General features: G+C 38.7%; 1 pseudogene; it reads right to left on the bottom strand.

Annotated features, from left to right (window-relative positions):
* Positions 1–27,050, bottom strand: part of SLC9B1P2 (solute carrier family 9 member B1 pseudogene 2) — a 48,809-nt pseudogene that overhangs the window by 10,309 nt on the left and 11,450 nt on the right.

The following is a 27,050-nucleotide window of genomic DNA, read 5'->3' on the forward strand; positions in this document are numbered from 1 at the left end:
GACCTGTATCAATCACTGCTGTGCTCAGTTTTAAATACAGAGTAGGCATTGGAGGCTAGTTTTAGAAAAATAGAGTTAAGTACTAAATTTCATGGATCTTACCAAAGTTTAATATTTTGAAAAAAATGTCTAATACTATACTTCTATAAAATAGATTTTGTATTTACCTGGTCTTCACTTGGAAAATATCGAACAAAAAGTCCCAAAACAATTACTGCCAGCAGACTAATACATACGTTCCCTATAGAGGCTATGGCGTTATTAAGCATACCACCTGTAGGGGCACACAATAAAAAAAAAACACAAAGAAATATTTTCACATACACTACACATCAGAAAAGCAAATCTAGGTGGTTCATGAAGAAAAGTAAGCATTTTATAGAACAAATATATGCAAATGGTCCTTTTATAGTGACATGTATGAAAACACTTAGCTCTATTTAGTACATTAAATATATACTCTCAAATAATTTAATATATACACACAACTCAGAAATGTCCATTATATAAATAGGCCAGAAAACAAAGACTTAACAAGCACAAGATGCTCCCCTTACATAGCCAATTTAAAAGACAGAGTGAGGTAGTCCAGGTGCAGTGGCTCATGTCTGTAATCCCAGCGCTTTGGGAGGCTGAGGAGGGTGGATTACTTGAGGTCAGGAGTTCAAGACCAGCCTGACCAACATAATGAAACCCCATCTCTACTAAAAATACAAAAATTAGGTGGGCATGGTGACACACAACTGTGGTCCCAGGTTCTCAGGAGGCTGAGGGAGGAGAATCACTTGAACCCGGGAGGCAGAGGTTGCAGTGAGCTGAGATCGTGCCACCCCACTCCAGCCTGGGTGAAAGACGGAGGCTACACCCCCAAAGGAAAAAAAAAAAAGACCAAGTGAGGTACAAGAATTGAGAGAGACCGAAACACTTGTGGCACTTAGCATATGGCTGGTAAGGGCTATATCAACAATTCTTCTTTGATGTACTACATGAAAAAGAAACAAATGATTTAAACATGAAAAGAACAATGTAATAACAACATAAAAAATTTTGTTCCAGGGTCAGTCCTAGAAACATTCAATGGTCATTTAAGATTTCAGTATGTTTAAGTTTCTGCTTTTGGTGAAGAAAAAAGGAAAAAAAATACAAAAGATTCCAGTATATTTTATATTAATTAATATTAATATATCCATACTTGTAGTTCATTGTAATAAGTAAAAAGCAAAAAATAAAAAAAACAGAATGAGTCACAAAAATAGTTCAGTTAAGCTCTGGGTAGTGGATTCAATAGAGTACGTAAGTATATTTTTAGATATATTTTCTACTAAATATAACAGGCAGCGCATGGTGGGCTCACACCTTTAATCCTAGCACTTTGGGAGGCCAAGGCAGAAGGATTGCTTGAGCCCAAGAGTTGATACCAACTTGGGCAACATAGTGAAACCCCATCTTCACAAGAAAATAAGAAATTAGCCCGGTATGTGGTGTGTGCCTATAGTCCAAGTACTCAGTAGCCTGAGGGAGGAGGTCCCTTGAGCTCAGGAGTTCGAGGCTGCACTCTAGCCTGGCTGACAGAGCAAGATCCTGTCTCAAGAAAATAAAGTATAATAAAAGTAAAAAATAATATAAACAGAGTGATGTCAGCCAGGTGGTGGAATGACTCCAAACCTTGATTCTCCATAAAGATAGCAACTGAAAAACAATATATGGTCTAAAAGCCTTTATGGAGTTCCATAAACCATTAAGAAGTTGTAGTAGCACAGACAAGTGCAAAGCCAAGAATAGTGGCATTGAACAAATAAGAAAAGCTGTTGCATTATACTCATGATACCCCTTCCCCAAGCTCGAACAGGTTGGTTTGGCTGGGAAGCACTCAACTTGCAGCTTCTCCGTTAGCAGGGAAAGAGAAGACTGGAACGGAATAGTTTTATGAGGTTACCTGAAGCTCTCTCTCTCTCTCTAACTTGACGCCCAACTGGCATACCTTGGATGCATGGGAGCCACTGGGAATAAAGGAGAGGTCAGAGATGATGCAGCACCAGGGAACCTGCAGTACCACAGACAGATACCAGAGGGAGCAACAGCTCCAGAAAAAGAAACTGGCAAACCTCTACTTGGGATATTGCAATGTATAAACCCAAAGAAGATGCATTCCCAGAAAAAGTTTGAGAGGCTGCTGGAACCTATAGCCATGCTGATTCAGGTATGAAGTTCTTCCGTATGAAGCCAGCTGATAAAAACTGGGAGAAGTGGCAGTTTTTTCAAACGCCCAAATCTTGGCAAAAATAAATAAAAAATAAAAAATAACAAGACATAAGAAGAAACAGAGAAATCTGATGACTAAATTAAAGGAGCAAAATAAATCTCCAGAAACCAACCCTAAAGAAATAGATAAATCAGTTACCTGACAAAGAATCCAAATTAACTCTCTTAATGAAGCCCAGTGACAACAGAAATAGACAACTAAGTGAAAGCAGGAAATAATTCATGAACAAAATGAAAATATTAACAGAGATAGAAACTAAAAAAAAAAAAAGGAATCATACAGAAAATCTGGAGCTAAGGAATACAATAGCTCAATTGAAAAATTCACTATCGGAAATCACCAATAGACTGTGTAACTGCCCAATGGGTTCACCTCGTGTCCTGCTTAGACAGAGCTGATTTATCAAGACAGGGGAATTGCAATGGAGAAAGAGTAATTCAGGCAGAGCTGGCTGTGCGGGAGATCAGAATTTTATTACTACTCAAATCAGTCTCCCTGAGCATTCGGGGATCAGAACTTTTAAAGATAATTTGGCAGGTAGGGGCTTGGGAAGTGGGGACTGCTTATTCATCAGGTTGGAGATGAAATCAGACGGGGTTGAAGTGATGTTTTCTTGCTGTCTTCTGTTTGTGGGTGGGGTGGCAGAACTAGTTGAGCCATATTACCAGTCTGGGTGGTGTCAGCTGATTCATCCAGTGCAGGGTCTGCAAAATATCTCAAGCACTGATTTTAGGTTTTACAATAGTGATGTTATCCCCAGGAGCAATTTGGAGAGGTTTAGACTCTTGGAGCCAGAGGCTGCATAACCCCTCAACTGTAATTTCTAATGTTATAGCTAATGTGTTTATCCTGCAAAGGCAGACTGGTTCCAGGCAAGAAGGGGATCTTTTTGGGAAATGGTTATTATCAACTTTGTTTCAGAGTCAAACCATGAACTGAATACCTTCCCAAAATTAGTTCATCCTACTGCCAGGAATGAACAAGGACAGTTTAAATGCTAGAAGCGAGATGGAGTTGATTAAGTCTGATGTCTTTTGCTGTCATAATTTCTTCAGTTATAATTTTTGCAAAGGCAGTTTCAATAACATCAAGCAGAAGAAAGAATCAGTGAAACGGAAGACTAGTCATCTGAAATTATAGAGTCAGAGGAGCAAAAGGGAAAAGGAGTGAAGAGTGAAGACAGCCTAAGAGACTTACAGGATGCCATCAAGCAGACCAATGTATGCATTATGAAAGTGCCAGAAGGAGAAGAGAAAAATAAAGCGGCAGAGAGCCAGTTAAAAAAATAATGACCAAAAACTTCTCAAACTTAAAGAAGGAAATGGACATACAAATCCAAGAGGCTCAAAGAACTCCAAGTTGGATAATTTGCAAAAGACCTACAATGAGACACATTACAATCAAACTGTCAAAAGTCAAAGACAAAGAGAGAATTTTGAAAGGAACAGGATCAAAGCAACTTGTCACATACAAGGGAGATGCCATATGGTAATCAATGGAATTCTCAGCAAAAACTCTACAGGCCAGAAGAGAATGGGGTGGTATATTAAAAGGGCTGAAAGAAAAAAAAAACTGTCAACCAAGAACTGTATAGCCAGTAAAACTCTACTTCAAAAGTGAAGGACAAACAAAGAGTTCCCCAGAGAAGTAAAAGGTGAGGGAGTTGATCACCACTAGACCTACCTTACAAAAAATGTTAAAGGGAGTCCTCCAAGTGGAAATGAAAAGGCATTGGATAGAAATACAAAAACATATAAAATATAAACTTCTTTGGTAAAGGTAAATATATGAGTGAACATAGAATCCTTTAATACTCTAATGGTGGTAAGCAAAACACTTTTTTTCCTTTACTTTTTTTTTTTGAGACAAAGTCTTGCTCTGTTGCCCAGGCTGGAGTGCAGTGGTTTGATCATGGCTCACTGCAGCCTTGCAGTCATGGGCTAAAGCTATCCTCCCACCTCAGCCTCCCGAGTGGCTGGGACTACAGACATGCACCACCACACTCAGATAATATTTTTAAATTTTTAGCAGAGATAAGGCCTTGCTGGTCTCAAACTCCTAGGCTCAAGCGATCCTCCCATTTTGGCCTCTCAAAGTGCTGGGACTACAGGTGTGAGACACAACACCTAGCCTGTAATTCACTTTTAATTGAAGCATAGAATTTAAAAGGTAAAAGCATAATATTACTGTATTAAATTATGTGAATAAACAATATAAAATATATATTTTGTGACATTGATAACAAAGTGAGAAGGAGGTGTAAATAAGTAGAGTTTTTGTATGTGATTAAACTTAAGTTGTTGTCAATTTAAAATAGATTATTATAACTATAAGATGTTTTCATGTAATTCTACAGTAACCACAAAGAAAAGACCTACAGAAGATACACAAATAAAAATGAGAAAGGAACCAAAGCACATCCCTACCAAAAAAAGAAATCAGTGAAACATAAAGGGAGGCAGAAAGAGAGGAAAAGTGGAAAAAAATACCTGCAAGACATGTATAAAACAATGAACAAAATGACAATAGTAAGCCCCTCTCTATCAGTAACTACTTTAAATGCAAATAGGCTAATTTTCCAATCAAAAGACAGAGAATTGCCCGAATGGATTAAAAAAATCTAAACATATACTATATGCAAGAGACTTATGTTAGATCTAAACACACACAAAGGTTGAAAGTGAAAGGATGGAAAAAGATATTCAATGCATTTGGTAACCAAAAGAGAACAAGGATGGCCATACTTAGACAAAATAGAGTTTAAGTCAAATAATAGCACAAGAGACAAGGATATTACATAATAATAAAAGGGCCAATTGACCAAGAAGATATAGCAATTATAAATGTATATGCAACTAACAGTGCAGCATCTAAATATATGAAGCTAACATAGACAGAATTGAGGGGTAACATAGATAACAACATCATAATAACAGAAAACTTCAATATTCCACTTTCAATTATGGATACAATAACCAGACAGATCAACTGGAAAACACAGAACTTGAGCAACATTGTAGACCAATTGGACCTGTCTGACATATACAGAACACTTCACCCAATAATGGCAAAATATGCTTTCTTCTCAAGTACATACCAAGATTTTCCAGGATAGATGGCATGCTAGTCCACAAACAAGTTTTTAAAAAATTAAGAAAACTGAACTCATACCAAATATCTTTTCTGACCACATTAAATGAAATTACAAATTCATAGCAGAAGGAAAAAGGAAAAGTAATAAATACGTGGAAATTACAAAAATATACTCTCTTAACCAATTGGCCTGTGTGGTTAATATTAATTGTCAATTTGATTGAGGGATGCTTAGATGCCTGATGAAGCACTGTGTGTGGGTATATCTGTGAGGGTGCTGCCACAGGAGAATGATGGATGAGTTAGTGGACTGAGAGAGAAAAATCCATCCTCATTGTGGGTAGGCAACATGCAATTGGTTGCAAGTGTGACTAGAACAAAAAGGCAGAAGAATGGAAACATTCAGCTTGCTTAGATTTCTGTTTTATGCACTTTCTCTCTCTTCCAGAGCAGTATGCCTTTTTCTCCTCTTGCCCTTGCACATCAAACTCTAGGTTCTTTGGCCTGAGTCTTAGGACCCTGGGACTTGCATCAGCAGCCTTTTGGGAGCTCTCAGGCCTTGGGCCTCAGACTAGTGGCTGCACTGTCAGCTTCCCTGGTTTTGAGACTTCCAGATTTGGACTGAGCCATGTCACTGCCTTCCTTGGGAGCCATGCTGTAGGCTTCTCTCATTTTCCAGCTTATAGATGGCCTATTGTGGGACTTTGCCTTTGTAATTATGTGAGCCAATTCTCCTTAATAAATTATATTTCATATATATATAAATATATTCTCTTTTAGATACATGTATATGTATCTATATCTATTATCTATATCTATATCTATATCTATATCTATATCTCCTATTGGATCTGACCCTCTGGAGAACTCTGATTAATACATAGTCAAAGAATAAGTCACAAGGAAAATTATAAAATGTCTTGAGAGAAATAAAAATGGAAACACAACATTCCAAAGCTTGTGGGATACAGCAAAATGAATGTGAAGAGGACAGTTTATGTATCTAACTACCTACCTTAAAAAAGAAGAAAGATCTAAAATCAGCAACTTAGCTTTACACCTCAAGAAACTGGAAAAAGAAGAACTCAACCCAATGTTAGCAAAAGGAAGGAAATAATAAAGTCTAGAGCAGAAGGTCAGTTGCAGTGGCTCATGACTCTAATCCCAGCACTTTGGGAGGCCGAGGCAGGTGGATCACCTGAGGTCGGGAGTTTGAGACCAGCCTCAGCAACATGGAGAAATCTGTCTCTACTAAAAAATACAAAATTAGCCGGGCATGGTGGTGCATGCCTGTAATCCCAGCTACTCTGGAGGCTGAGGCAGGAGAGTCACTTGAACTGGGAGGCAGAGGTTGCAGCGAGCGGAGATCACGCCATTACACTACAGCCTAGGCAATAAGAGCAAAACTCCATCTCAAAATAAAATAAAATAAAATAAAATAAAAGGCTAGAGAATAGAAAAAACCCAATGAAACTAGTAGTTGTTTTAAAGTTCAACAAAATTGACAAATCATTAGCTAGAATATTTAAGAAAAAAAATAAAGAAGACTCAACTTCTTTTAGGAACAAAAGAGAAGACACTGCAACAGATATTACAGAAATAAAAAGGATTCTAAGAGTCTACTATGAATGATTATATACTGACAAGTTGGATAACCTAGGAGAAATGAACAGATTCCTAGTAACATGCAAGTTACCAAGACTAAGTCACAAAATAAAAAATCTTAATAAACCTATAACTAGTAACTGAATCAGGAATCAAAAACCTCCCAGGAAACCACATACCTGATAAGGGGTTAATATCTAAAATATATGCAGAATAACAACTCAATAACAAAACAACCTATATGAGAAATGGTCAGTTGACTTTGCTATGGTCCAAATGTTCTCCCAATATTCATATGCTGGAGACTAATATTCAATGTGATAATATTAAGAGGTGGGGCATTTTGGAGATGATAAGTTCATGAAGTCATAGCCCTCAGAAATGGGACTAGGGCCTTTATAAAAGAGGCTTAAGGGAGTTTGTTTTGCCTTTTGAACACGTGAGGACACAGAGAAGGTGCTATGTATAGTGAATATAGTGACCTCACCAGTCACTGAGTCTGCTGTAGCCTAAATCTTGGACTTCTCACATTCCAGAATGCAAGAAATAAATTTCTGTTTTTTATAAATTACCAGCCTAAGGTATTTTGTTATAGCAGCAGGAATGGACTAAGATAGACTTGAATAGACATTTTTTCTAAAAAAAAATACAAATGGCCAACTAGCATATCAACCCAACACTATGTGGAAGATGCCAAGGCTTGGGGATTGAACTCTGAAGCAATAGCCTGAGCTGTACATTGGCTCCTTTTAGCCATGGCTGGGACACACGGCACCAAGTCCCAAGACTGCACAGAGCAGCAAAGTTCTGGGCCTGGCCCACAAAACCATTTTTTCCCTCCTAGGCCTCCAACCCTGTGATGGGAGGGGCTGTCGTGAAGAACTCTGACATGCCCTGGAGACAATTTCCCCATTATCTTTTCAATTAACATTTGGCTCCTTGTTAATTTTGCAAATTTCTGCAGTCAGCTTGAATTTCTCCCCAGAAAATGGGTTTTCTTTTCTATCACATCATCAGGCTGCAAATCTTCCAAATTTTTATGCTCTGCTCCCTTTTAAACATAAGTTCTAATTCCAAACCATATTTTTGTGAGTGCATAAAACTGAACACTTTTAAGAGCACTCAGGTCATAAATTGAACACTTTGCTGCTTACAAATTTCTTCTACCAGATGTCCTGGATGGGTTCCAAGATGGCCAAACAGGAACAGTTCCGGTCTGCAGCTCCCAGAACGATCGACACAGAAGACAGGTGATTTCTGCACTTCCAACTGAGGTACCTGGTTCATCTCATCAGCACTGGTTGGAGAGTGCGTGCAGGCCCACAGAGGGTGAGCTGAAGCAGGGTGGGTCATCGCCTCACCCGGGAAGCACAAGGGGTTGGGGGATTTCCCTTTCCTTGCCAAGGGAAGCTGTGACAGACTACCTGGAAAAACAGGGCACTCCCACCCAAATACTGCACTTTTCCCAAGGTCTTAGCAACTAGCAGACAACGTGATTCTCTCCTGTGCCTGGCTCAGTGGGTCCCACACCCACACGCACAACAGTCTGAAATCCATCTGTGAGGTGGCAGCCTGGCTGGGGGAGGGGCGTCCACCATTGCTGAGGCTTAAGTAGGTGAACAAAGTGGCCAGGGAAGATTGAACTGGGTGGAGCCCACCGCAGCTCAACAGGGCCCATTGCCTCTAGACTCCACATCTGTGGGCAGGGATAGCTGAACAAAAGGCAGCAACTTCTGCAGACTTAAACATCCCTGTCTGACAGCTCTGAAGAGAGCAGTGGTTTTTCCAGCATGGCGTTTGAGTTCTGAGAATGGACAGACTGCCTCCTCAAGTAGGTCCCTGACCCCTGTGTAGCCTAACTGGGACACACCTCCCAGTAGGGGCTGACAGACACCTCATATAGACGGCTACCCCTCTTGGACGAAGCTTCCAGAGGAAGGATCAGGCAGCAATATTTGCTGTTCTGCAATATTTGCTGTTCTGCAGCCTCCACTGGTGATACCCAGGCAAACAGTGTCTGGAGTGGAACTCCAGCAAACTCCAACAGAACTGCAGCTGAGGGTCCTGACTGTCAGAAGGAAAACTAAAAAACAGAAAGGAATAGTGTCAACATTAACAGAAGATCATCTACACCAAAACCCCATCTGTAGGTCAAGAATATCAAAGACCAAAGGTAGATAAAATCAGAAGGATAGGGATAAACCAGAGCAGAAAAGCTGAAAACTCTAAAAATCAGAGCACCTCTTCTCCTCCAAAGGATCACAGCTCCTTGTCAGCAACGGAACAAAGCTGGACAGAGAATGACTTTGACGAGTTGACAGAAGTAGGCTTCAGAAGGTTGGTAATAACAAACTTCTCTGAGCTAAAGGAGGATGTTGGAACCCATTGCAAGGAAGCTAAAAACCTTGAAAAAAGATTTGACGAATGGCATACAAGAATAAACAGTGTAGAGAAGACCTTAAGTGACCCAAAGGAGCTGAAAACCATGGCACCAGAACTTTGTGATGCATGCACAATCTTCAATAGCCGATTCAATCAAGTGGAAGAAAGGGTATCAGTGATTGAAGATCAAATAAATGAAATAAAGTGAGAAGACAAGGTTAGAGAAACAAGAGTAAAAAGAAATGAAGAAAGCCTCCAAGAAATATGGGACCATGTGAAAAGACCAAATCTATATTTGATTGGTGCACTGGAAAGTGATGAGGAGAATGGAACCAAGTTGTAAAACACTCTTCAGGATATTATCCAGGAGAATTTCCCCAACCTAGCATGGCAGGCCAACATTCAACTTCAGGAAATACAGAGAACAACACAAAGATACTCTTTGAGAAGAGCGATTCCAAGACACATAATTGTCAGATTCACCAAGGTTGAAGTGTAGGAAAAAGTGTTAAGGGCAGCCAGAGAGAAAGGTCAGGTTAGCCACAAAGGGAAGCCCATCAGACTAACAGCTGATCTCTTGGCAGAAACCCTACAATCCAGAAGAGAGTGGGAGCCAATATTCAACATTCTTAAAGAAAATAATTTTCAATCCAGAGTTTCATATCCAGCCAAACTAAGCTTCATAAGTGAAGGAGAAAATAAAATTCTTTACTGACAAGCAAATGCTGAGAGATTTTGTCACCACCAGGCCTGCCTTACAAGAGCTCTTGAAGGAAGCACTAAACATGGAAAGAAACACCCGGTACCAGCCACTGCAAAAACATGCCAAGTTGTAAAGACCATCAATGCTAGGAAGAAACTGCATCAATTAACGGGCAAATAACCAGCGAATATCATAATGACAGGATCAAATTCACACATAACAATATTAACTGTAAATGTAAATGGGCTAAATGCCCAAATTAAAGGACACAGACTGGCAAATTGGATAAAGAGTCAAGACCCATCAGTGTGCTGTATTCAGGAGACCCAACTCATGCGCAAATTCACACATAGGTTCAAAATAAAGGGATGGAGGAAGATCTACCAAGAAAACGGAAAACAAAAAAAGGCAGGGTTTGCAATCCTTGTCTCTGATAAAACAGACTTTAAACCAACAAAGATCAAAAGAGACAAAGAAGGCCATTACATAATGGTAAAGGGATCAATGCAACAAGAAGAGCTAACTATCCTAAATATATATGCACCCAATACAAGAGCACCCAGATTCTTAAAGCAAGTCCTTAGAGACTTACAAAGAGACTTAGACTCCCACACAATAATAAAGGGAGACTTAACACCCAACTGTCAATATTAGAAAGATCAACAAGACAGAAGGTTAAAAAAGATATCCAGGACCTGAAATCAGCTCTGCAACAAACAGACCCAATAGACATCCACAGAACTCTCCACCCCAAATCAACAGAGTATACATTCTTCTCAGCACCAAATCTCACTTATTCTAAATTTGACCACATAACTGGAAGTAAAGCACTCCTCACCAAATGTAAAAGAACAGAAATCACAACACACTGTCTCTCAGACCACAGTGCAATCAAATTCGAACTTAGGATTAAGAAGCTCACTCAAAACTGAACAACTACATGGAAACTGAACAATTTGCTCCTGAATGACTACTGGGTAAATAACAAAATGAAGGCAGAAATAAAGATGTTCTTTGAAACCAATGAGAACAAAGACACAATGTACCAGAATCTCTGGGACACATTTAAAGCAGTGTGTAGGGGGAAATTTATAGCACTAAATGCCCACAAGAGAAAGCAGGAAAGATCTAAAATTGACCCCCTAACATCACAATTAAAAGAACTAGAGAAGCAAGAGCAAACATATTCAAAAGCTAGCAGAAGGCAAAAAATAAGATCAGAGCAAAGCTGAAGGAGACAGAGACACAAAAAACCCTTCAAAAAAGCAATGAATCCAGGAGCTGGTTTTTTGAAAGGATCAACAAAATTGATAGACTGCTAGCAAGACTAATAAAGAAGAAAAGAGAGAGGAATCAAATAGATGCAATAAAAATGATAAAGGGGATATCACCACTGAGCCCAGGGAAATAAAACTACCATCAGAGAATACTATGAACACCTCTACACAAATAAACTTGAACATCTAGAAGAAATGTATAAATTCTGGGACACATACACCCTTGCAAGACTAAACCAGGAAGAAGTTGAATCTCTGAATAGACCAATAACAGGCTCTGAAATTGAGGCAATAATTAATAGCCTACCAACAAAAAAAAGTCCAGGACCAGATGGATTCACAGCTGAGCTCTACCAGAGGTACAAAGAGGAGCTGGTACCATTCTTTCTGAAACTTTTCCAATCAATAGAAAAAGACAGAATCCTCCCTAATTCATTTTATGAGGGCAACATCATCCTGATACCAAAGCCTGACAGAGACACAACAACAAAAAAAGAGAATTTTAGACCAAAATCCCTGATGAACATTGATGCAAATATCCTCGATAAGATACTAACAAACTGAATCCAGCAGCACATCAAAAAGCTTATCCACCATGATCAAGTTGGCATCCCTAGGATGCAAGACTTGTTCAATATATGCAAATCAATAAACGTAATCCATCATATAAACAGAACCAAAGACAAAAACCACATGATTATCTTAATAGATGCAGAAAAGGCCTTTGACAAAATTCAACAGCCTTCATGCTAAGAACTCTCAATAAACTAGGTATTGATGGGACGTATCTCAAAATAATAAGAGCTATTTATGACAAACCCACAGCCAATATCATACTGAATGGACAATAACTGGAAGCATTCCCTTTGAAACCTGGCACAAGACAAGGATTCCCTCTCTCACCACTCCTATTTAACATTGTCTTGGAAGTTCTGGCCAGGGCAATCAGGCAAGAGAATGAAATAAAGGGTATTCAATTAGGAAAAGAAGAAGTCAAATTGTCCCTGTCTGCAGATGACATGATTGTATATTTAGAAAACCCCACCGTCTCAGCCCAAAATCTCCTTAAGCTGAAAAGCAACTTCAGCAAAGTCTCAGGATACAAAATCAATGTGCAAAAATCACAAGCATTCCTATACACTGATAACAGACAAACAGAGAGCCAAATCATGAGTGAACTCCCATTCACAATTGCTTCAAAGAGAATAAAATACCTAGGAATCCAACTTACAAGGGATGTGAAGGACCTCTTCAAGGAGAACTACAAACCACTGCTCAACAAAATAAAAGAGGATACAAACAAATGGAGGAACATTCCATGCTCATGGATAGGAAGAATCAATATCGTGAAAATGGCCATACAGCCAAAGGTAATTTATAAATTCAATGTCATCCCCATCAAGCTACCAATGGCTTTCTTCACAGAATTGGAAAAAACAACTTTAAAGATCATATGGAACCAAAAAAGAACCTGCATTGCCAAGTCAATCCTAAGCAAAAAGAACAAACCTGGAGGCATCACACTACCTGACTTCAAACTACACTACAAGGCTACAGTAACCAAAACAGCATGGTACTGGTGCCAAAACAGAGATACAGACCAATGAAACAGAATAGAGCCCTCGGAAATAATACCACACATCTACAACCATCTGATCTTTGACAAACCTGACATAAACAAGAAACGGGGAAAGGATTCCCTATTTAATAAATGGTGCTGGGAAAACTGGCTAGCCATATGTGGAAAGCTGAAACTGGATCCCTTCCTTACACCTTATATAAAAAGTAATTCAAGATGGATTAAAGACTTAAATATCAGACCTAAAACCATAAAAACCCTAGAAGAATACCTAGGCAATACCATTCAGGACATAGGCATGGGCAAGGAATTCATGACTAAAACACCAATAGCAATGGCAACAAAAGCCAAAATTGACAAATGAGATCGAATTAAATTCAAGAGCTTCTGCACAGCAAAAGAAACTACCATCAGAGTGAACAGACAACCTACAGAATGGGAGAAAATTTTTACAATCTACCCCTCTGACAAAGGGCTAATATCCAGAATCTACAAAGAACTTAAACAAATTTATATGAAAAAATCAAACTACCCCATCAAAAAGTGGGCAAAGGGTATGAACAGTGACTTCTCAAAAGAAGACATCTATGCAGCCAACAGACACATGAAAAAATGCTCATCATCACTGGCCATCAGAGAAATGCAAATCAAAACCACAATGAGATACCATCTCACACCAATTAGAATGGTGATCATTAAAAGGTCAGGAAACAACAGGTGCTGGAGAGGATATGGAGAAATAGGAAGGCTTTTACACTGTTAGTGGGAGTGTAAACTAGTTCAATCATTGTAGAAGGCAGTGTGGCAATTCCTCAAGGATCTAGAACTAGAAATACCATTTCACCCAGCCATCCCATTACTGGGCATACACCCAAAGGATTGTGAATCATGCTGCTATAAAGACACATGCACATGTATGTTTATTGCGGCACTATTCACAATAGCAAAGACTTGGAGCCAACCTAAATGTCCATCAATGATAGACTGGATTAAGAAAATGTGGCACATATACACCATGGAATACTATGCAGCCATAAAAAGGATGAGTTCATGTCCTTTGTAAGGACATGGATGAAGCTAGAAACCATCATTCTGAAAAAACTATCGCAAGGACAGAAAACTAAACACCACATGTTCTCACTCATAGGTGGGAATTGAACAATGAGAACACTTGGACACAGGGTGGGGAACATCACACACTGGGGCCTGTCATGGAGTGGGGGGAGGGGGGATAGCATTAGGAGATACATCTAATGTAAATGACGAGTTAATGGGTGCAGCACACCAACATGACACATGTATACATATGTAACAAACTGGCACATTGTGCACATGTACCCTAGAACTTAAAGTATAATAATAGAAAAACTATGACACTCTCCTACATACCATACCGGTAAAAAAATTATAAATTTTAGATAACCATCCAGAGATATTTCTCTAATTCTTGGAAAAAATATCAACATTGAAAACATCAAAAAAATTAAACAGTTCTTTTTTCATCCAAAAAACAAAAAAAGAACAATAGGGAATCCTCCCTAACTCATTTTATGAGGCCAGCATCATCCTGGTACCAAAGCCTGGCAGAGACACAACAAAAAAAGAGAATTTTAGACCAATATCCTTGATGAACATTGATGCAAAAATCCTCAATAAAATACTGGCAAACTGAATCCAGCAGCACATCAAAAAGCTTATTCACCATGACCAAGTGGGCTTCATCCCTGGGATGCAAGGCTGGTTCAACATATGCAAATCAATAAACATAATCCATTACATAAACAGAACCAAAGACAAAAACCACATGATTATCTCAATAGATGCAGAAAAGGCCTTTGACAAAATTCAACACTCCTTCATGCTAAAAACTCTCAATAAACTAGGTATTGATGGGACGTATCTCAAAATAATAAGAGCTATTTATGACAAACCCACAGACAATATCATACTGAATGGGCAAAAACTGGAAGCATTCCTTTTGAAAACCAGCACAAGACAAGGATGCCCTCTCTCACCACTCTTATTCAACATGGTGTTGGAAGTTCTGACCAGTGGAATCAGGTAGGAGAAAGAAATAAATGGTATTCAGTTAGGAAAAGATGAAGTCAAATTGTCCCTGTTTGCAGATGACATGTTTGTATATTTAGAAAACCCCACCTTCTCAGCCCAAAATCTCCTTAAGCTGATAAGCAACTTCAGCAAAGTCTCAGGATACAAAATCAATGTGTAAAAATCACAAGCATTCCTATACACCATTAATAGACAAACAGAGAGCCAAATCATGAGTGAACTTCCATTCACAATTGCTACAAAGAGAATAAAATACCTAGGAATCCAACTTACAAGGGACATGAAGGACCTCTTCAAGGAGAACTACAAACCACTGCTCAACGAATTAAAAGAGGACACAAACAAATGGAAGAATATTCCACACTCATGGATAGGAAGAATCAATATCATGAAAATGGCCATACTGCACAAAGTAATTTATAGATTCAATATCATCCCCATCAAGCTACTAATGACTTTCTTCACAGAATTGGAAAAAAACTACTTTAAAGTTCATATGGAAACAAAAAAGAACCTGCATTGCCAAGACAGTCCTAAGCAAAAAGAACAAAGCTGGAGGCATCACACTACCTGACTTCAAACTATACTACAAGGCTACAGTAACCAAAACAGCATGGTACTGGTGCCAAAACAGATATATAGACCAATGGAACAGAACAGAGGCCTCAGAAGTAAAACCACACATCTACAGCCATCTGATATTTGACAAACCTGACAAAAACAAGAAATGGGGAAAGGATTGCCTATTTAATAAATGATGCTGGGAAAACTAGCTAGCCATATGTACAAAGCTGAAACTGGATCCCTTCCTTACATCTTATACAAAAATTAATTCAAGATGGATTAAAGACTTAAATGTTAGACCTAAAACCATAAAAACCCTAGAATAAAACCTAGGCAATACCATTCAGGCCATAGGCATGAGCAAGGACTTCATGACTAAAACACCAAAAGCAATGGCAACAAAAGCCAAAATTGACAAATGGGATTTAATTAAACTAAAGAGCTTCCAGCAAAAGAAACTGCCATCAGAGTGAACCAGGCAACATACAGAACGGGAGATAAATTGCAATCTACCCATTTGACAAAGAAAGAATTCAAACAAATTTACAAGAAAAAAACAACCCATCAAAAAGTGGGCAAAGATATGAATAGACACTTCTCCAAAGAAGACATCTATGCAGCTAACAGACACAAGAAAAAAAGCTCACCATCACTGGTCATCAGAGAAATGCAAATCAAAACCACAATGAGATACCATCTCACCCCAGTTAGAATGGCAATCATTAAAAAGTCAGGAAACAACAGATGCTGGAGAAGATATGGAGAAATAGGAAAGCTTTTACACTGTTGGTGGGAGTGTAAACTAGTTCAACCATTGTGAAAGACATTGTGGCGATTCCTCGAGGATCTAGAACTAGAATTACCATTTGACCCAGCAATCCCGTTACTGGGTATATACCCAAAGGATTATAAATCATGCTACTATAAAGACACATGCACATGTATGTTTATTGCGGCACTATTAACAATAGCAAAGACTTGGAACCAACCCAAATGTCCATTAATGATGGACTGGATTAAGACATGTGACACATATACACCATGGAATACTATGCAGCCATAAAAAAGGATGAGTTCATGTCCTTTGCAGGGAGATAGATGAAGCTGGAAACCATCATTCTCAGCAAAACTATCACAAGGACAGAAAACCAAACAGCGCATGTTCTCACTCATAGATGGGAATTGAACAATGAGATCACTTGGACACAGGGCTGGGAACATCACACACTGGGGCCTGTTGGGGGGTGGAGGGCTGGGGGAGGGAGAGCATTAGGAGAAATACCTAATGTAAATGATGAGTTGATGGGTGCAGCAAACCAACATGGCACATGTATAGCTATGTATCAAACATGCACGTTGTGCACATGTACCCTAGAACTTAAGGTATAACAACAACAACAAACGTTTCTTCTACCAGATGTCCTCAGTCATCTCTCTCAATTTCAAAGTTCCATAAATCTCTAGGGCAAGGACAAAATGCCACCAGTCTCTTTGCTAAAGCATAGCAAGAGTGACCTTTACTTCAGTTCCCAACAAGTTGTTCATCTCCATCTCGGACCTCCTCAGCCTGGACTTCACTGTCCAAGTCACTATCAGCAGTTTGGTCAAAGCCATTCAACAAGTCTCTAGGCAGTTCCAAACTTTCCCACATCTTCTGATCTTCTTCTGAGTCCTCCCAACTGTTCCAAAGTCTGCACATTACACAGTTCCAAAGTCACTTCCACATTCTCAGGTATCTTATAGCAATACTCCATTACCTCAGTATCAAAATCTGTATTAGTCATGGTTCTCTAGAGGGATAGAACTAATAGAATATATATATATGAAAGGGAGTTTATTAAGGAGAATTGAATCACACCATCACAAAGTGAAGTCCTACAACAGGCCGTCTGCAAGTTGAGGAGCAAGGAATCTAGTATTGGCTCAGTCTGAGTCCCAACACCTCAAAAGTAGGGAAACAGACAGGCCAGCTTTGAGTCTCTGGATGAAGGCCTGAGAGCCCCTGGAAAACAACTGGAGGAAGTCCAAGAGTCCAAAAGCCAAAGAACCTGGAGTCTGATATTTGAGTGCAGGAAGCATCCAGCATGGGAGAAAGATGAGGGCCAGAAGGCTCAGCAAGTCAGCTTCTCCTTACCTTCTTCTGCCTGCTTTATTCTAGCCATGCTGGCAGCTGATTGTATGGTGCCCACCCACATTGAGGGTGGATCTGCCTTTCCCAGTCCACTAAATAAATGTTAATCTCCTTTGGCAACACCCTCACAGACACAACCGGGAACAATACTTTGGATCCTTCAATCCAATCAAGTTGACACTTACTTAATATTAACCTTCACAATGTAATATTCATCCCATTTGTAATTTTTCTTTAATATACAAGCTCCTTGAGAACATGCACCATTTGATCTTGTCTCTCTGTTGTGTTGGGAGGCAGTGGAGAAGAGAAGAGTTAAATGTGTGGGTGTGGAGGGAGACTGTCAGATTTGCATCTTGGCTCCCCTACTTATTGGATCTCTGTCCTTGAGAAAATTACTTAACATCTTTCTCGGTTTCCTTACCTGTAAATGAGTGGTGACATATATGGAACTTAGAACAAGAGTCAAGCAAGTATTCAATAAAAGCTAATGTTGTTGCCTACTGTTTATTCTCAGTGTTTGGCATAGTAGCTGGCAAAAGGAAGAGGAATACTTTTTTTCTTTTTTTCAGACAGTATCCCTCTGTCACCCAGGCTGGAGTGCAGTGGTGTGATCTTGGCTCACTGCAACCTCTGCCTCTTGGGTTCAAGCGATTCTTGTGCCTCAGCCCCCTGAGTAGCTGTGATTAGAGGCCTGTGCCACCACACCCAGCTAACTTTTTGTATTTTTAGTAGAGATGGAGCTTTGCTATGTTGGCCAGGCTGGTCTTGAACTCATGTCCTTAAGTGATCCCCCCGCTTTGGCCTCCCAAAGTGTTGGGATTATAGGCGTGAGCCATTGGGCCCAGCCTGGAAATATTTTTTGGAAACATGACTGATAACAATATTTTTTGAAAGAATGACAGATACCAATCATGAAGGAAAAGATTTTCACAATTGACAATAAAAAACTTTAACTTCTGAATGGTAAAAAGAGTGAGAAAATTAAAAGCCAAATTACAAATTGAAAAAACTAAAGTATATAAAACAAAGGTTTTCATTCTCAATTTAATGCAGAATCTTGACAAATCAAAAAGAATAAAAGGTGAACCCACCTAAAAGAAATAGGCAAAAAACTTTCAAGAAAAGCAATTTACAAAATGCCAATGACTAATAAACATGGATATTTAACATCACTAGTATTCAAAGTACTTCATTTATAGAGATCCCTCCTTCACCTATCAAATTAGCAAAGATGAAAAAGGCTAGTAATACCAAGTTTTGAAGAGAGGTGAGAGGAAATGACAAGTTTATGTACCCGGGTAGGACATGATATTGTGGCAATATGTTTCAGAACACTCATAAATGTATATACATTTTAGATCAACAATTACACTTTTAAGCTTAAGAAAATATGAAGATTAGGTACAAATATTTCTCTATATGTTCAACTAAGTATATTTTTTAATTAAAAAATTTTTTTTGAGACAGAGTCTTGCTCTGTTGCCCAGGCTGGATAGCTCACTACAGCCTCCGCCTCCTGGGTTCAAGTGATTCTTCTGCTTCATCCTCCTGAGTAGCTGGGATTACAGATGCCCACCAACATGCCCGGCTAAGTTTTGTATTTTTAGTGGAGACAGGGTTTCACCATGTTTGTTGGCCAGGCTGGTGTTGAACTCCTGACCTCAAGTGATCCACCCTTCTTGGCCTCCCAAAGTGCTGGGATTATAGGTGTGAGCCACCATGCCCGGCCAATTTTTTAATTTAAAAAAAATTTTTATAGCAACACAACTACGTATCATTTTAATAGTAAATATTGGAGTTAACTTTAATTTTGAACAGGATAAGTAATCATGATGCAGCACATTGAATACTCTTTCATTAAGCTAAACAACTATTAAAAATGATATACAAATACATTTACTGTAAAGAAACATGTTTGTGATATACAGTTAAGTGTAAAACAATTCAGTTTATAAGAACATATTAGGCCGGGTGCGATGGCTCACGCCTGTAATCCCAGCACTTTGGGAGGCTGAGGCAGGCGGATCACGAGGTCAGGAGATCAAGACCATCCTGGCTAACATGGTGAAACCCTGGTTCTACTAAAAATACAAAAAAAATTAGCCGGGCGTGGTGGCGGGCGCCTGTAGTCCCAACTACTTGTGCAGTTGAGGCAGGAGAATGGCATGAACCCGGGAGGCAGAGCATGCAGTGAGCCGAGATTGTGCCACTGCACTCCAACCTGGGTGACAGAGCAAGACTCCGCCTCAAAAAAAAATAATAAAAGAACATGTTGGTAAATATTCACTGATTTTTATAAGAATATTTGACAGAGAGAGAGGGGTAAGGGAAGGGAAGGGGGAGGAGAGGGGAAGGGAAGAGAAGGGAAGAAGGGAAGAAGGGAAGGGAAGGGAATATGGGTGGATTTATACCAAAAGGTTCAGAAGGAAATGATTCTTTTCTTCTGGATGTGACTATTGCAGATTTTATTTTTAACTTTTCCTCTTTTTCTTATTTATTTATATTTTCTTATTTTAAGAGAAACTATAAAACTATATATATTACTTTTCAACTTAAAAATAGTTTAGCGCTTCAATAATACAGAAGACTCAAACATTGCAGATAATTAAAGCATTACTACATGTGGAAATGTTTAGTTTCACAATTTCTGTAGTGATATTCAAGACCAGATATCACCTTGGGAATCAGAACTGGTGCAGGATTTTGTCCTAACACTACCAAAAAGGCATATGGCTGTCCCAGCTCTGTATGTTTATGTTGTCTTATAATAGAGCAACCAGTTGTTTATTAGGATGGCCAAAAAGGCGCATTTCAAAAATGCCTATTAAAATATTAGTAGTACAAATAATACTGCTGCTTAATTTTTTCTAATGAGAACTGATAAAATTCAAAAGCAACATAAGCAGATAAATAGTAATAATATGGTTTATCAAACTAATTGTCATATGATTATTAAAGTGAGATCATGTGTGTTAAGTAGTGGTATCTTAAGCCACTGAAATATCTTCCTTGGTCTGGAATGAGCTTTCTATGGAGATTAAAAAGATGTTAAATTGAACAGTCTTGGTTAATAAATGAAGAAGCAAAGCCAGAAACCCTGTTTAAAGAACTAACAAAAAAGGTCATGAATGATCTGGTGGTTGTTATATTTTCTTGTTTACCCGAGGAGAAGACTATGCTCAAGCATGTATTGAATCCAGTGAGAGCCAGAATGTCATCCATACTGCTAGCAGCCATTAGTAAGGTTGGAATGTCTTCCTCAACACCATATCCATTTTCTTGCAACACCATCGTGTAAAGAACAACAACAGCAGGAGAGACAGCACCTAGAACAAAACTGAAAGAAGAATGAAAATTAATTTAAAAGCATCTTTTTAATCAAGTAGTGTTTTATAAGTACAAGTAGTTTATAATAAATTTATAACAAACATTGTTTAGAAGAATTTCAAATTTGAGTGAATGCAATTTAATGGTGATAAAACTTTCCATGCATTGTTTAGTGCTGGCTAAAATTTTATACAGACGTTGTTTAAAATGTTGGGCTGAGCACAGGTTGCAGCCTCTCCCTCTATTCCTAAATCCTTAGAAGTGAAGATGTAAAGGTAATAGAAAAATTCATAACCTAACTAGAAAGCAAAAGGTGAATCATCAATGGACAAGTAACTAAGTATATGCCAGAAAGATAAGAGACAGACAATTTAGGATTGAAAAAAGGAAACCATAAACCAAAATGTGTGTAAATAAAATTGCCTCAAAAGATACATGTGCTTCTAAAAGTGGTCCAAGCCCTGAAATGACAGATGCTGGGAGCAGGAGAGACCTCTGGGGAAACCAAATAGTTGATTATTTGGAGTACCACTGTAAGAATGGTCAGACAAATCTACCTTCCACACATTTCCTACCTCTTGAGTAAATAAGTAAGTAAGGAAGGAAGGAACAGAGTTGTCTGCCCAAAAGAACAAGTGTGGCCACCTAAGTTACAAAGGCAAATGAGAACATTTCTGGAGTGGTTGATGACACCCATGAGGAATGGGGAGGCTCCTGCTCAGAATACTTTCTATTGGCATATCTTATCCAGAAATTCACCTCATCTCTTCTACATTTACTTTATAAAGTGTGAAGTATATCCTGTGTAGAAATGCTTTTGGTGCTCCTGCCAGAATCCATTTACCAGGTCTATGAACACATCTCCCAGTGCTTCTTGTTGGCTGCTAATATCTGCAGGTTTCTAGAACCTTTGTCCTGCTGACAAGCACCTACCTGGGAATACTAGGGAGGTTGTGCACCCCTCTACTTTCCCTCCAGACAGCATCTGCCAATGACGTACTGATGTGAGATTTGCTTCTGGCTGTACAACTCTATGGCGCAGTTTATGCTACAGATTTCCCTGTGGGCTCAAGAAGAGACTAGACTTCTCTAAAACCACATACTGGTCTAGTTCAGTGGTTCCTGAACTCTGCTGCACATTGTAATCACCTGTTGTATTATTTTTCTTATTTTGCTTAACAAGTCATCCCCAAACATAGCAGCTTAAAACAACAAATATTTATTGTCTTATGACTTCTGTGGGTCAGGAATCTGGGCATGGCTTAGTTGTATGCCTTGACTTAAGATTTCCCATGAGGTAGGGTGGGGTGGAGAAGATCTGCTTCCAAGTTTACTCATGTAGCCATTGCAGGCTTCAGTTTTTTCCAGTGGGGTTTTCTCCACAGGGCTGCCTCAGGACATGGCAGCTGGCTTCCCCAGGAATAAGTGATCAAAGAGAATTTAATCCACAACATCAATTAAAAACACAAAGTATCTAAGAACAAAACTGTGAAGACAGTCTATACTTTTATAAAAATTGTGAATATAATAATATAATAATTAAGATAATACCTGAATACTTAGGGAGACATTTCACAAGTGTGAACTAAAAAGCCCCAATTTTACCATCGCTCAACACCACGCCTGGCTAGTTTTGGTGTTTTTAGTAGATACGGTGTTTCATCATTTTGGCCAGGCTGGTCTTGAACTCCTGACCTCAAGTGATATGCCTGCCTTGGCCTCCCAAAGTGCTTGGCTTATAGGTGTGAGCCACCATGCCTGGCCAAAGCCTCAATAATATAAAGATGTAAACTCTCCCCCAAATGAATTAATCAGATACACCAATCAAAATCTTTGCAGGGATTTATACTGAGCTTGACAAGCTGATTATAAAATTCATTTGGAAGAATAAGGTCTTAGAATGAAAGATCAAGTAAACTTAAGAAAACAAGATACTGTTTTTGTAAAGGTAAAATAGTTAAAACTGAATAATAGTGACATATAAAAAGACAAAATAAATTGGAAGAAAAGAGAATACAAAGTGTGGAAACAAATCTATGGGATTTGTTACATCATACAATTGGTATTTTAAATCAGTGGGAGAAAGAAAGAAATCTTTCACAAATGGTGTTGAGATAACTATTTATGTGGAAAGGAATATAGATAGATCCTTACATATAATAAATGTTAAAAGCTCAAAAGGAAAAGTAGTAATAAGAAAATGTAGTGGGCTAGGCCTGATGGCTCACACCTGTAATCCCAGCACTTTGGGAGGCTGAGGTGGACAGATCAGGAATCTGAGAACAGCCTGGCCAACATGGTGAAACCAATAGCTGGGTGCAGTGGTGCATGCCTGTAGTCCCAGCTACTTGGGAGGTTGAGGCAGGAGAATCACTTGAACCTGGGAGGTGGAAGTTGCAGTGAGCTGAGATCATGCCACTGCACTATAGCCTGGGTGACAGCAAGACTCTGAACAACAAAAAAAAGATGTAGAATAATATATTTGTGATCATGAGGTAAAAAGGACCTTTTGAATGATACATACAAAGACATTAGACATAAAAAGAGATTGTAATACATTCAATTATATTAAAGTAGTACTTCAAAAGCAACTTCAAAAGTACTATAATAAAGTACTACTTCAAAAGCAATTCTGCTCTTTCTCCCCCTTTTTCTTTTTCATTTTCAAAGTCAAGTGAACGGTGTTGTGTATTGGCAATTCTGTCTGTTGAAAATAACAAAATACACTTCTTAGAGTGAAAAAAAAATCATCACAAACAAAATTAAATATCTACTGATATTTGCAATACATATAATTTACAAATGCATATAACAGATATAATTAATAAAGAAGACCAACTCAACAAAAAAATGGACAAAGGATATGAACAGGCTAGTTACAGATAAGGAAAAGCTGAAGGACAACACGTATATAAAAGATATTCAAGCTTGTGAATAATCACAGAAATGCAAACTAAAATAACAAAAATATGCCATTTTTTCAATGATCAGACTGGAAAACATTATAAAATTTAATAATATCAAGGATTTGCAAGGATTTTCAAGAACAACAGGTATGCTCATAAGCTATTGGTATTAGGGCAAATTAAAGTGGCCATACCAAAAAGATTTTGGCAGTATACATCAAACTAAAAATTCATGTAACCCAGGTAACTATTCTAGACAAACTTATATTTATATAAAATGAGACAAATAAAATGCTATTTTTGTTATAACATAGTAAATAAAATCTGCTGTTGACATACAATGTAATCTTATACAATTAAAAGGAATAAACTACATGTGTATCCATCTTGAGATGGATAAACCTCAACACTATTGTTGAGTGAAAAGAACAAATTGTAAAGTAAAATTTTCTTGGATATGATTAAGTAATAATGCACAAAATAATACTCTTTTTTTCTCTGGGTTCACAAATACATTTGTTAGAAGTCTAGAACATTATTTTTAAAGATTTAGAATGATAACATAAAACTCATGAAGATGCTGCCACTCTGTCTCCAGCAGCACATGAGTGCACCCCACAACACCATTGCCCCGGCTGACACATGCAAGTATGCAGAACACCCCCATCCCACTCCTGCCAGCACTGCACCCCTGCCAACACATGCATACCTGCTGTGTGCTGCTGCTGCTGACACATATGTGTGAGTGGGGACCTTGCTACAATCACTACAATGAAGCACTTTGGCTGGCACACCCCATCAGAGTGTTGTTGCCAGTGGACTGGGAACACCTCAGTGCTTAACATTGAAGGGCCAGACAACAAATCTGTTGGTATGGTACCAGCCTTGCAAAGTTAGAGTATGCAGTTCAGGAGTGCTGAGCTGAGCCTTTACCCCCTGAAATCTTCCAGAAATGAAGCCATTTGACTGAAACTACCTTGTGCCACAGTCAAACCCTCAAGGGCATTAAAGAATATAAAAAAGGAAAAAACTCCATCCAAAGGACAGTGATTCAAAACATTAAAGGAACCTTAGCTCACACAGATGTGAAAGAACCAGTGCAAGAACTCTGGCAATGTAAAAATCCAGAATGTCTTCCTGTCTTCAAGCAATCATACTAACTCTCCAACAATGGTTGTTAACCAGGATTAAATGACAGACATAGAATTCAGAATCTGGATAGAAACAAAGATCATTGAGATTCAGAAGAAAGTCAAAATCCAATCCAAATAATCTAAGGAATCCAATAAGATGACATAAGAGCTTAAAGATGAAACAGGCATTTTAAGAAATAACCAAACTAAAGTGATAGAGCTGAAAAATGCACCTCAAGAATTTCATAATACAATAACAAGTACTAACAGCAGAACGGACCAAGCTGAGGAAAGAATCTCAGATCTCAAAGACCACTTCTTTGAATCAACTCAGTCAGATGAAAATAAAGAACAAAAAAGAATGAACAAAACCTCTGAGAAATATGAGATTATGTAAAGAGACCAAACATATGACTCAAGGCATCACTCAAAGAAAGGGAGGAAGAACAAGCAAGTTGGAAAACATATTTGAGGATACTGCCCACAAAAATTTCCCAAATCTTGCTAGAGAAGTCACCATTTAAATCCAGGAAATGCAGAGAATCCTGTGAGACACTATACAAGATGACCATCCCCAAGACAGAGAGTCATCAGATTCTCCAAGGTCAACATGAAATAAAAAAATATGAAAGGCAGCTAAAATGAAGGGGCAGGTCACATACAAAGGGAATCCCATCAGGCTAACAGTGGAACTATAAGATACTCTACAATCCAAAAGAAATTGGGGGCCTATATTCAGCATTCTTTTTTTTTTTTTTTGAGACGGAGTATCACTCTGTTGCCCAGGCTGGAGTGCACTGGTGCTATCTCGGCTCACTGCAACCTCCACTTCCCGGGTTCAAGCAATTCTTCCCCCTCAGCCTTCCAAGTAGCTGGGACTACAGGTGTGCACCACAACACCCAGCAATTTTTTGTAATTTTAGTAGAGACAGGATTTCACCATATTGGCCAGGGTGGTCTCAAATTCCTGACCTCATGATCTGACCACCTCGGCCTCTCAAAGTGCTGGGATTACAGGTGTGAGCCACCATGCCCGGCCTTCAGCATTCTTAAAAAAAAAATACTTGGCTGGGTGTGGTGGCTCATGCCTGTAATCCCAGCACTTTGGGAGGCTGAGGGAGGCAGAACACAAGGTCAAGAGATCAAGACCATCCTGGCCAACATGGTGAAACCTCATCTCTAATAAAAATACAAAAATTATCTGGGCATGGTGGTGCGTGTCTGTAGTCCCAGCTACTCGGGAGGCTGAGGCAAGAGAATCACTTAACCCAGGAGGTGGAGGTTGCAGTAAGCCGAGATAACACCACCACACTCCAGCCTGGGGACAGAGCAAGACTCTGTCACAAAAAAAAAAAAAAAAAAAAAAAAAAAAATTCAACCAAGAACTTAATATCCAGCCAAACTAAACTTCATATGTGAAGGAGAAGTAAGATCCTTTTCAGACAAGCAAATGCTAATGGAATCTGTTACCACCAGACATGCCTTACAAGAGGTCCTTAAGGGAGTGCTAAGCGTGGAAGTGAAAGACTGTTAATGGCCACCACAAAAATACATTTAAGTACATAGACCATTGACGTTGTAAAGTAACTACACAATCAAGTCTGCATAATAACCAGCTAACAACATAATGGTAGGACCAAAGCTATAAATACCAATATTAACTGTGAATGTAAACAGTATAAATGCCCCGCTTAAAACTCACAGAATGACAAGTTGGATAAAGAAGCAAAGCCCAACCTTATCTGTTGTCAAGAGACCCAGCTCATATGCAACAATACCCATTCGCTTGAAGTAAAAGGATGGAAAAAAATCTACCAAGCAAATGTAAAACAAAAAAGGGTAAGCATTGTTATTCTAATTCAGACAAAATAGACTTTAAACCAACAACAATCAAAAAGACAAAGAAGGGCACTAAGTAATGATAAAGGGTTCAATTCAACAAGAAGACTTAACTGTCTGAAAGATAAATGTGCTCAAAACTGGAGCATTCACATTCGTAAAACAAGTTCATAGA

This window comes from Homo sapiens, chromosome 2, assembly GCF_000001405.40.
Source record: "Homo sapiens chromosome 2, GRCh38.p14 Primary Assembly".
In the NCBI taxonomy this organism is placed as follows: Eukaryota; Metazoa; Chordata; class Mammalia; order Primates; family Hominidae; genus Homo; species Homo sapiens.